Source organism: Homo sapiens, chromosome 6, assembly GCF_000001405.40.
Source record: "Homo sapiens chromosome 6, GRCh38.p14 Primary Assembly".
Classification (NCBI taxonomy): Eukaryota; Metazoa; Chordata; class Mammalia; order Primates; family Hominidae; genus Homo; species Homo sapiens.
In genome coordinates, this window is record NC_000006.12 from 114,460,701 (window position 1) to 114,474,199 (window position 13,499).

Consider the following 13,499-nt stretch of genomic DNA (forward strand, 5'->3'; position numbering starts at 1 on the left):
TCATATGAAAACATAAAATTTTAGGTTTTAGGAAATAAACTGAACTCTCCATACTCTCTCAAATCACTAGAAAGTCTCCGTCAGTTATTTCTTTCTCAGTGCTGATTAACTATCGATTCAATTGGTGGTCAAAATCGAGACTTGCTGCTGTGTTTTTGTTTTGAAATTTTTATTTTATTGACTTTTGACAGGGCACAGCTAGAGAAGAGAAAAGCCTAGTTTAAAAAAAGTATTTGTATCAAGCCATCTCACCCATTAAATATTGATAATTTTACATTACAGTTCCAAAACAATAATGAATTATTGTTCCCACATCAACTGGTCCAAAACAGAAGCAAGTCTGTTTTCCTTCCCCTATGGTTAGCGCAGTGTGTCTGGACAAACAGGCAATTAAGTTCTTAAAATATGAACCCAAATGAGACTGAGACTGGGTGTGTTTTCATATTCTTCTACAGCCAAAGATGTGTAACTCACCAGGGAGGCTTAACTTATTCTGACTCTTCTGGATAAACATGCATGTTATCCTTGATGTTTATGCATTTTTCAGCAAGTTTTAGGAGAATAGATGGATTATTTATAAAATAAAGAACTTATTTTTCACATCTCAGTAATGATATGGTGGAAAGCCGAATTGTACCACGGAAAAGGTCAGAACACCTTGATCATATGTCAGTTTCACCCTTTAGCTAATAGTGTGACCTCAGGAAGGTCACTTTGTCTATCTGACCTACAGGTATGTCATCTATAAAATATGTCTGATGATAATTCTTAATCGACCCACCTGTCAGAGCTCTTAGACACAAGTGAAATTATGAATAAGGTGTAAAAATGCCATATAAGGCTCATTTTCCTTTAATATTTTAATACTAAATCCATAAAAGTTTGTAGTATCTGTTTGCATACACATGACCAAAAATATTTTGGATGGAAGTGTAAAAAAAAATCAGTCAAGGTATCTATATGCTCCATTTGCAAGAGGTAATAATCTACTTGTTTAAAATTATATATACATATATAAAATTTATATAAAATATACAATTTTAATGTTATTGAATTTTGTATATACATTGTATATACATATGATATACATTATATACAAAATTGATTTTTAAACTTTTAACTTTTTTTTTTAAGATGGGGGCGTCTCACTTTTTCACCCAGGTTGTAGTGCGGTGGTGCTGTCTCAGCTCACTGCAACCTCCGCCTCCCAGGCTCAAGCAATCCTCCCACAACAGCCTCCTGAGTAGCTGAGACCACAGGTGCATGCCACCACACCCGGCTAATTTTTTCTATTTTTGGTAAAGATGGGGTTTCACCATGTTGCCCAGGGTGGTCTCAAACTCCGGAGCTCAGGTGATTCAGTCACCCCGCCTCCCAAAGTGCTAAGCTTACAGACAGGAGCCACTGCACCCAGCCTAAAATTTAACTGTTCAGTTATGTTTGAGGTTGTGTTCTCAAGCTTTCATCTACTTTTTTTTATGTTCTTTCTTAAAAGCTGGTTTTATTATTCACTGTCTTCTGTAGCTGCTTCCCTCCTTGGTTTTATTGTATCGTCTTTTGTATGTAGTTTGTTACAGTCAATATTGTTTATGTAAAATAACTGCTTAAATTAACTTGTTATCTGTGTCTACTTCAGAAAACACAGAGTTCCATACTTTTTATTTTAGTAAATGTAAAGTGGTGGTATTGATGGAAGGTTGGGGAGAGGATATTTCAAGCAAGTCTCATATAAGATATTGCTGGAGGTAGTTAATAAATGTCAAAAATCCTAAGCATGAAACATTCAGGACTTTACAAGACAAAAAAATAGAATAAAATTTTGGCCTCATTCATCTAAATTGTTTTTTTCATCAGAGCAATTTTGATTACATTTTTTTATTTCCATCCTCCAAAATTGTTCATTGTCTTTGTCTATATGTTCACACAGTTAACAAGTTGGCTAATATTTCTGGTTATCTTCACAACCGATTATGCATTGATCAACTGATTGACCATATAGCAATTTTATTTGGTTGTTAAGAACAGATGTAAATACCAGATTGACTCTGTTACAGTTGTTAATTTAGCTGTACAGACAAGGTGTCAGAAAAGACCTTCAGAAATATATATAAAATGCCTTACATTCTCAAATGGTCATGAAAATATTAAACCTGCAGCCAAAATAAAGTTTAATTTGAATAACTTTTATTTTCAGAGACTACACGTTAAAATAGAATTCAGTGTGGAACATAATTTAAAGTGTTCTGATACAATAGGGAAATGGTTGCTGAACGTTCTTCTGTGTCAAACAGGTGGACACAACTGCTAGATTAACAATGAGGCATATTAGCAAATATTGCTGTCCTTCAGTGCTGAAGAGGATGTTGGCTCTTGCAATTATGTTCTTAGGCTCTTTGTTGATTTTGGTGAAATGAGCAAATTATGTTTTATTTTATATCATTAATAATATTTCATCTTTTCTGAATTAGTCCTATTGAAAATTAAAGATAATTTAATTGTTATGAAATGGGAATTATGCAGTTTTAATCTCTACTGACAGTGACTATACTGCTTGCAAGTCTAATTTACTATCTGGCTCTTTGGGAAAAGTTTGCTGACCCGCTGCTAGGGTTACTACTGCCCTATAGTGAGAGTCCAAGTCTCTTTTTACTTCAACAACAGTTGTCTCTCCATCCCTGGATCCTAAGGTGTCCCACTCTACTTCAGATCAGGGACAACAGAAATTCTGAGGCACCATTGGGCCAGGGGTCTAGGGGTTAGAGCTTTGGGTGAAATGAACAAAGGAGTTAAAATCCAAAGTACAGACTTCTGAACTTTTTGTTTGTTTTTGTTTTGCTTTTCTTTTATGACAGCATCATACAGGGATCCAAAGTCTTCCCTCCCTTGGGAAAATGTTACCTTTTAAAACATTACATTTAACACATAATAATTTTGTATATGTATGTGGTACAATGTGATGTTTTTATCTGTGTACACATTATAGAAGACTCGATTAAGTTCATTGCTGTATCCATCTGAAAGCCAGTTAGTAATCAGGATAGAGTCCAGGGCCCTAGAGTATGGGTGGGGGGTGGATGTGCTAATTTGTTGCTCTGAGCCCTAAAATTATCTCTCATTGTTTTTCTTCACTATGCCATTAATGTGGAAAGATCATAAACTTAGGTTGGATTTTTTTTTTTTTTTTTTTTTTTTGAGATGGAGTCTCACTCTGTTGCCAGGCTGGAGTGCAGTGGCACAATCTTGGCTCACTGCAACCTCTGCCTCCCAGGTTCAAGCGATTCCCCTGCCTCAGCCTCCTGAGTAGCTGGGACTACAGGCGCACACCACGACACCTGGCTAATTTTTTTTTTTTTGTATCTTAGCAGAGACGGGGTTTCACCATGTTGGCCAGGATGATCTTGATCTCCTGGCCTCGTGATCTGCCCTCCTTAGCCTCCCAAAGTGCTGGGATTACAGGTGTGCATGTTTAGTGAAAAGGGGCAACAGTGAATATCTGACACATTTTCATGTGGGCCAAGACACACAAGAGTTTGGTTCATCTGGGGTCCATTCTAGCTCACTGGAGTTTAGAATCACATCCCGCATATTGAGGCCAACCTGCAGTAATAAAGTATGTGTGTTTGTTGGTCTTTTCCAGTGGAAATTTGTGGTACCAGTGCTTCTTCATCCAGGATTCAAGATTCCCAGCCAAATTTCCCTTTCTCTACTAAACTAGCAACAACTCTTATTGTTGTGACAGTTTCTACCCTCAAGTGATTCCTAGTCTAATGATAAAAACATAAATGCCAAGAGCTAACTATAATGACATGTAGTAAGTGAGAAATTGCTTCACAGAGAAGGTAACATTTCTCAGTGGTGTAAAAGAGCTGGCTCTTACCAGCTCCATTGTTAAGTATTTAGGAATCAACAGCTGAGTTGTTAAATCACTGGTAGCTTGAAATGGGCTGTGGTGGGAATATCTCCACCATGGAAATTGGCAAAAACTGCAAATTGGGACTTACTTTTGTACAGAGAGCCTATTTGCCAAAGTAGCACTGGATTTGAACTGGAAAAAGGAGGGAGTGAGGGGTAAATTTATTGTAAGCAGAGGGGACAGACATTATGATTAAAATGTAATACAGTATATTAAAATATCAGTAACTTTTGACATTTGAAAAGGGTTATTCTCTTTGATGCATAAGTATTAATCTTATTCATTAAAATGTGAAAACCACATACATTGTTTTTCTTTTATATTTATCACATACTTATAGGGTAAGCAAGTTTCATACCGCAATCATCTTTTGGTCATTTTCTCTAATTATTCTTCACAGATTTGTATGTATGTATATAGGCATCTAGTAAGCTGTTACGTTTTCTTCCAGCATTTGGTATGGTTCAGGAAGTCTAACATCAACCTGATTTTTAGCCATTTATTGGCAAACTATTCCCTTTTTCTTTAATGCTTCATAATCCCAAATTTCTATTATTTTCAATAATGAGTCTTACTATTTTAGCTTGATATATTTGGTGAAGTTTCTAAATCTATAAATTTGTTTTTCTTCACTGTAGGTAGATTTATATGTATTATGAGGTTTCCTTGAGTGATGTCAGAACCAGCTTTCTAAAGTTGATTATTTTTTCCTTTTATTCATATCTATGAGTTTTCTTGTCACTTTCACTTCTGTTCTTTCCCTTTGGATTCAAGGCTTCTCAAACTTGCCATCCTTATTACAGATTTGATTTGATCACTTCTATTTTTATTGTCTCTAATGGGAGTTTTAGCCCTGCTCTTGCTCTGGTGTTTCATTGTATTCTTTTTCTACTTTAGTCAGAGTTCTTTGTATCTCTGCGTCGATCTTACACTCTATGCTCTTCACCCCCTTTTTCCAGAGGCCACTTTCATCTTTCATGTTTTTGAAGACATCAAGCATAGTCTGCTAAGCTTTGCCTTTTCCTTTCCCTACTGATTATTTTTCTGTTTGTTCACCCTTAGCAGATAGAGATCTATCTAGACCTGGCATTTTTCGAAAGACAGTTTCTTAGTTTCATTAGCTTGGTCTGCTCTTCACCTAGGTTCAGGCAGCTTCCTTCTTTGGCTCTGGAACCAAAGGCAGATTTATTTGCACAGATCTGCACGTCTTGCACAGATATGTCTGTTTCTAACAGTAGTTAGTCCAGAAAAGATTGACCATGGAATTCTTTTCTTGAGAGGAGTGGCATCTCAATCAATGTTTCCCAACATATGGTTCTCATGGCCTTGGGGACCCTGAAGGGATGTATGGGGCAGGCTCTGGCTGGCTTAAAAAGTGATTCCTTAGGGTTTAGGAGAAAAAATTGCATGTTTTTGTGGTTTGTGCATGTATTTTATGTATTTATTTGTGTATTCATTTATTTATTTGCTAGAGTTTAGAGCAGCAAAGGGAGGGTAAATCAAAGACCACTGATTTGGACTCAGCCTTCTTGCTCTGCTCTGCATTTGCAGTTGTATTGTTTGTCGTGGAGCAGTATTTCTCAACAGTGGCACTATTGATATTTTGGGTCAGATAATTCTTCGCCATGGAGGCTGTCTTGTGCATTGTAGGATGTGGTAGGAGTTGTGTTTCCTGAGTAGGGCACAACCTCCCTGGTTTCTACTCAGTAGATACACCCCACTCCCAGTTGTGATAAGCAAAAATATGTCCAGATGTTGTCTAATGTCCCCTGGGGAGCAAAATTATCATCGCTTTCTCTCGTTAAGAACCACTGCTCTAGAGACTAAGAACACATTTCTAAATTTCATGAAACTTTCTCCAAAATCAAATTCTATTCTTTTTGTCAATTTGTCTAAATTTGATTGTACTGTTGCCAGTCTTTTTTTTTTTTCTATCTTCATTGGCATTTAGTAGAATGTATAAAAGGCTTATATGAGGAATTGTATTTTTTTGTTTATTTTTTCATCTGCCAAATAATCACTGAGCACATAATATATTCCATGTTTTCTGCTTGGTCATGGAACAGGAAATTGAGTAAGACTTTCTCTTTGCAAATTCTCATCTTTGGAAATTATTCTAGGATTTATATAAATTATCATATTTAACTTCTTCAAATTTCTTACCTTTTGTCTTTCTTAATAAATAATCTCCTGATACTTTTCTACATCTTGTCTTAATGTAGGACTTGTCAGTACCTTTAAAATGTTCATGTCATTTACACATTTCCAGAGGAGGGGGATAAAGTGTGGTGTTCCTTTATCTTATTTTATCATGGGGCTCTATTTTCTTCAAAACATCTTATGAGATAATTAGTCCAGGGTATAGGCTTTGGGAAATATTCCATTTATGCATTTCTTTATTATCTAAGGATGGATGATACTGATCTTTTCAGATTAATATCTTTAGCCCTGATATTCCACAGAACCCCAGACCCTAATATTAATTCCTCCTGTATATCTCCAGATTGAAGTTCCACAAATATCTCAAACTCAGAACTTCTTCCAAGGCAAAGAATTCCAAGGCATTCCTGACCCCCAAAATAGAGTATAATATCTCTCTTTATATCTTTAACACTGTTCTGTCAAAACCATACTTCAGTGTAAGTTAGTATCTGTTGTAATTCTGTCTTTCCTGCTAGACTGTGAGAATTCAGATACAGTGTCTGGGTTTCTTCTTCACTTTTCTCCCCAGAATTTGGAACAAAATGGGTGCTCAGAAGATGTTTTCTTTAAAGTACAAACACTGGGCAAAAATAATGCCACTGACATTTTTTTAGAAAATGTTTTTTAGCTTATTTCTCCACATACTTAAATTGGGGTTGGAGGATACATTTGACAACTCTAGGAACCTAATGTTAGATGTTGAAGAAGAGCACTATGGGAGGCCAAGGCAGGTGGATCACGAGGTCAGGAGATCGAGACCATTCTGGCTAACACGGTGAAACCCCGTCTCTACTAAAAATACAAAAAATTAGCCGGGCGTGGTGGCAGGCACCTGTAGTCCCAGCTACTCTGGGAGGCTGAGGCAGGAGAATGGCATGAATCCAGGAGGTGGAGCTTGCAGTGAGCCAAGACTGCGCCACTGCACTCCAGCCTGGGTGACAGAGAGAGACTCCATCTCAAAAAAAAAAAAGAAAAAATAAAAATTGTAAAAAAAGCACAGAGGCTGGGCATGGTGGCTGAAGCCTAACACTTTGGGAGGCTGAGGCAGGAGGATCACTTGAGGCCAGGAGTTTAAGATCAATCTGGACAACACAATGAGACCCTATTTCTACAAAACAAACAAACAAAGAAACAAACAAAACCACCACCAACATCACCAACAAAACCTCAGGGAAATAGGGTACCGGGATTTGCCAAAGACAAACTTGAATGAATTAACAATTCTGGATAGTGCTAGTAATGTCTTTGAAAAAAATTTAAGTGTCTTTTTTGGCAGATGTAGGGATTTTGCAGGTTGGCTTGTGTCCAGCGTGATGATTAAACATTTGTTCCTTAAAAAGAGAATTGATTCTTTTGTTCTGTGTTGCTCAATTCAAGATTAAGTCATGAGGGGATTTGGAAGGATGTACTGAAGTTTCATCTGGTTTGGTGAGAACAATATGCTACCAGATAATCATTGCTTTGTAATAGTCCAAGAAAGTAACAGTTTTTTAAAAAAGTTAAAACTCCATATAGCATTTAATTTTTGATTAAATCCAAACCAGAATAAACATCGTGACTGAGTTTTAGGAAGCCCACCAAACCCTTCTGCCATGATTCTTTGCTGGACCCAGAAATACCATTTCTTTCTTTTGTTTTTGAGATGGGTATGTTATGGGTACATTTGTCTTTTTGTTCAGGTGCTGTGAGACAGAGATGAAAAAGACAATCTTCCAAGCCTTAGGAAAAAAATATTAACCAACCATCTCTAGGAAATTGCAAAATAGTTTCTACTTTATCAGGATTTCCAATTCCAGGTATCTTACTTTGGAACTTTTGTATTACTTTAATGTCACTCATAAAATGTTACATTTCTGAAACTGCTAGATTCCACAGAAATCAGGAATTTTTTGTGTACTCTATAAGAAGAAGACCGTAGATTACAAACTGTTGATTGTAAAAAATAAATACGCTTATTTTTTTCTCCATTATCAAGGTTGACTTTTTTTTTATGTTGTAAAAAATGAATGTTAGCTTTCTATTCTAAGTCTGTGTAAAAAAAAGAGGCCTCAGAAGATTAAATTTGGTAGTGTAGATATAGCTACTTTATGTTATTTATTTCTGTGTCTACATGTAGCATCATTCCAAGTTCAGATACTGCAACCAACAACCTAGAGTACTTCCCTTTTTGTTATACTGATTTAGACACCTAACATCAGGATGCACTATGGGAGATACAATTTGGCCAAACTAGGCCTATATTCACAATGTAATTAATTGCTTTTTAATGGAGCTATTTAATAGCACTTAATGTGTATTGAAACATAAATTGGTCTTTATGTTTATTTAAGGTGAATAGGATAAAGATGATGGTCTTTGGAGGCAAAAAAAGTGTTACTGGGAAAGAAGTGATAACCAGACACATTCACATCATTATGCACCATCTCTGTTCTGATAGAGAAGCCAAAAGCACAGGGCCAATCCTTTGCTTAAGTTATGAGCATGGTATGTATGACCTATGTCACACATGTTATTTAAAATGCACATTTTAGCCTATTCAAGAGTTCTTTTTCTGAAAAGTAAATTTTAGACATTTTTGTAAAGTCTTAGGAAATTAAGAAAGAGGATTTATGAGTTAATATATGTACAGCTCTTAGAAAGTACATATAGCTCAAAGTTCTCTGCATTTATTATTATGGTATGTATAATAGTCACTGTTGACTTAGTTAACGTTAAGTAAATATTAAGCATCTATTACATGTAAAAGGCTATACTATAAACTATATGATTCACTTTAAAAAATTTTTATTGATAGATAATATTTGCACATATTTATGGGGTACATGTGATATCTTGTTACATGCATAGAATGTGTAATGAAATGAAATATGCATAGTATTTTTATTCAAGAAGTTTGCATATTAATGGTAAAGAAATTCATAAAAAAGAAAATTAAGAATATAAAGCAGTACAGTAAGTATATGGGGACATCAGGAGTTGAGAGAATAGAGAGATCCTTGTGGCTCCATGCAGGACATAGATCGGTCAGTTATATTGAAGGGAGATTTTGGAAGGGATGGCAAACATTTCAGGAAGGAAAAGAAAAAGAAATGAAGATAGAACTACATAAAATATTTATAGGCTGGCTGTACTGGAGGCCAGGCTAAGAAGATGAGATTAGAAAGAAATGCCAGAATCAGAGGTCTGGACTTGATTCCATTTAGTCGTTGAAATTTTCCGAGCAGGGATAAGCCAGGATGATATTTGTGTTTCAGGAGATTAATGTGGCAGTTATACACAGAAAGGATTTTAGGGAGAGACTAGAGGCTAATAAGATGGCTAACAGGGAAATAGGAAAATAGATAGCAGTAGAAATGGAAAGGAAAGATGAATGTAATGGACATTGTCAAAGAAGAATGATCATGCTCTATTGTGTTGATGAGATACTATGTTTTGTATACTTTGCATATTAATTTCTTTCATTTACAAAAATTATTTCAGAGTTCTTAAGAATTATGGTCAATTTTTTATAAACACGAATTTTGTTTCTATGGCTAAATTAACTAATGAAAAATGAAAGAGACAGTAATTATAAAGTGCTTATAATTTGGTGCATATTTTGAAAGTTGGTGCTAATATTTGTGCTTTGGATTAGGCCAACCACGATTCAGTTACGGGCTTTGCAACTTACTCATGTAAATTTGGAAAAGGTATCTAACTCTCTAAACTGCATATTTCTCATCTGTAAAATGCTGATAAAACTTTTCTCATAACCTTATTATAAAGATATAATATATTTTAAATGCCCAAGCATACATACAGCATGTAATAATTATGTAGTAAATGTGAGATGCAATTAACGTCAGAAAACTAAGCGTAGAAAAATAGAAAGCTGATATCATTGTAAAGTCCATTACAATGTCTGTGTTTTGTGTGCCTGGAACACAATATACTTCATTTTTCTAGGTTCAAGGACCTTGTAATTTTTTTTTATTTTTCTATCATCTCACTGATATCTCCATTAAAACATCATTTATTTGTTTCTTCTTTTCTCTTTGACTGCTTTCTGTTGGTATGATTTGGGGATTAGCTCTCAGATTTCTCTATTTTACACATTTCCTTGGTGATCCCACTCAGATATTTTATCTCCATGGATGATTAATTATCATCTATGTGCGGATAACTTCTGTGATACTTTTAAAGATATATTCTCAAATTTTTTGATACACCTTTTTTCAAGCAGTTGGGCTCAATTCTACTTCTCTTTAGTGTGGGTCAACCTATAGATTGTGAAGACATGTTGCGAAAAGCCCTATAGAAAAGTCCACAGAAGTGAGGAACTGAAGCCTCCAGCCACAGTACACATGAGTGAGTTTAGCAGTAGATTCTCCAGCCCCAGTTAAGTCTTCTGAGACCACATCCTAAAGACAAGTTGATTATAACTTCATGAAAAACTCGAAGCCAGAGCCACCCAGCTAAGCCACGTCTGACTTTCTGACATTCAGAAACTGCATGAGATAATAAATACTTTTGTTTTGTTTAAAGATGCTAAGTTTGGGGATAATTTGTTACACAGCAATAGGTAACCAATGCAACCTCTGAATTTATATCTCCAGCCAGACATCTCCACTGAGCTCCAGACTTGTATATCCAACTGCCTACTCTCACCTCTACTTAGATGTCTAATAAACATCTTGATTTCAATACATTCCTGATGGTTAACATTAGGTATCAACTTGACTGGATTGAGGAATGCCTAAAAGGCTGGTGAATCATTGTTCCTGGGTATGTCTGTGAGGATGTTTCGAGAGGAAATTGACATTTGAGTCAGCGGACTGAGAGAAGGAAGATCCACCCTCAATGTGTGTGGGCACCATCCAATCAGCTGCCAGCACAGCTAGAACAAAAGAGCCAAAAGAATGGGGATAAGCAGCTGTGGAGTCTCTTACTGTCTCTCCCTTCCCATGCCAGATGCTTACTTTCTCTCCTCCCGCCCTTGGACATCAGACTTCAGGTTCTCTGACCTTTTGTACTCTGGGATTTGCACCAGCAGCCTCCCAGCGGCTCTTGGGCCTTTGGCCTCAGACTGAAGACTACACTGTGGGCTTCCCTGCTTTTGAGGCTTTTGGACTTGGACTGAGCCCCTACCAGCTTCTGTCTCTCCAGCTTTCAGGCAGGTTACTGTGGGACTTCACCTTGTAACTGTGTGAGCCAATTCTCCCTAATAAACTCCCTTTTATATATACATATATGCTATTAGTTCTGTCTCTCTGCAGAACCCTAATACAATGGCTTACAACTAAACTCATATTATTTGCCCTTTCCCCATCACCCCCAAGGCCCCAGTATAACTTTTTCATGCCAGTTACTGAAAACTGCTAAGTTACTAAGTCTTGAAGAAATCCTTGACTTCTCTCTTTTATCTTCTTTCTCCATCTGTTGGGAAGCTTTTTGGCTCTACTTACAAACTATTTACTGAATTGATAACTTTTTAACCACCTTACCTCTGCCATTCTATTACAAGCCAACCTGACCTCTTTCCTGGATTATTGTAAGAAATTCCTAATTGCCTCTCAGATTCTATCCTTGACTGCTTGTCTTACTGTATATTTTCAACACAGAAGGCAAAGTTATCCTTTAAAAGCTTATTCTTATCCTTTGAAAAACGAGTCAGCTTTCTAGTTATAGTAATGATGAAGTTTCTTGTATTGGACTAGCCTTCCTGCAGATAGCAATTATAAATCCTAGACAAAATATTTTTTGTAAAGCTATTTGAAGGCACTGGAGGGCAATCAAAACTAGGCAGACACTGAACAATATTTGACACTGAAAAAAGGAAACCATGCTGGGTGACAGCCACATTTACAATGAGGGGAAATACCCAATCAATGAGTGGTGCAATTGGATACAACTAAGCAGAAGGCACAGTTTTATCAACCTGTGATGTTAGAGGACAGAGTTAGAGGCTAACAGAGTGAGTAGAAATTAATGAGAGAAAGTCCAGAAATGAAGGAGCCACAGAAACAGGATACCAAAAATCTTTAATTTAACTGCCCTCAATCCTTTGTGTCATTTTCTGAAATTTATATATAGGGCATACTCTAAGGAGTCCAGGGGAAATACAAACTTAAAGGATAAAAAAGCTAAGCATAGATTTCAGCCATTGCCTCTTGGTGGGATGACAGTGTTTGGAGTTTGAATCCTGATTGATAAACACCTCAGACTTTCAGTAAAACCCATGAAATACTCCATATTAGATGTAAATACTGTGTTTGTTGATTAAGGGCTATAGTTTAAGTGTAGGAATAAAGGTGAAGCAGATTGACTCTAACAAAATATAAAATAAAGTCTTCAAAAATTCAATGTGATTAGTCAACAATTTAACTGGCTGCCAGAAAAAGCAAACAAATGAACAAGCAAACAGACAAACTAACAAAAGCACCACTTCTGACAGGAAGTTAATAGAAACCAGAGTCTCTCTCCATAATATCAAGTGTGCAAGAAGGATTCATTAGATATATGAAAATATAGGAAAATGTGAGCCATCCTCAAGAACAGAAGAAATTAACATACCATGAAAATTAGTAGACAATTAACAGTAAAGGACTTTAAAGCATCTATCATAAGGACTTAATTTAAAAGATGACTATAATAAGTGAACAGATGGTGAGTCTCTGTAGAGAAATGAAAACTATAAGAAAATCAAATAGAAATTCTAGAAATAAAAAATTTAGCATCCAAAATAAAAAAGTTCCATGGATGAATTTAGCAGCAGATTGAAGCCAGCAGATAAAAAGCTGTGGTAGGCAGAATAATGCCGGCCCCTTCCCTCTGCCAAAGATGTCTACACCGTAATCTCTGGAACCTGTGCATATGTTACTTTACATGGAAAATGGAATTTTGCAGAAGGAATTCAGGTTGTCAACTTTAAAGTAGAGACATTATCCTGGATTATCACATGGACCCTGAAAAGTGGAAGTAGGTCAAAGATTTGAGATAATGGAAAAGGGCAGGAGAGATTTGAAGTGCTGAGAGAGACATGACCTTCTGTTGCTTGTTTAGAAGCTGAGGAAGTCACATGCCAAAGCTGGCCCTCAGCTACAGTCAGCAAAGAAACAGGAATGTCAGTTTCACAAAATCTGGAGTCCACCAACAACCTGAATGTGCAAGAAAACAGATTCTTACCTGGAGCTCTCAGAAAGAAGTACTGCCTTCCCAATTCCTTGGTTTAGCTCAGTAGAAACTGTGTCAGATTTCTGTTCTACAAAACTATAACAAACTTTTGTGGATTTAAGCCTCTAAATTTGTGGCAATTTGTTATGGCATCAATTGAAAACTAATACAAAGGAGTCAGTAAACATCAAAATAGATAAATATAAAGAGAAAGAAGCAAACAAAAATTACT

General features: G+C 36.2%; 1 long non-coding RNA gene across 2 annotated transcripts in view; it reads left to right on the top strand.

Moving 5' to 3' along the window:
* The window catches only part of LOC107986638 (uncharacterized), a 131,875-nt gene extending 118,376 nt beyond the window's left edge, over positions 1-13,499 (top strand). The window contains exons 7-8 of one of the 2 annotated variants that reach the window (XR_002956366.2): positions 7,795-7,911; positions 8,446-13,499. This is a non-coding gene — a long non-coding RNA (uncharacterized LOC107986638). The remainder of the gene's footprint in view (positions 1-7,794; positions 7,912-8,445) is intronic. The other variant, XR_001744315.2, reaches the window with a different exon arrangement.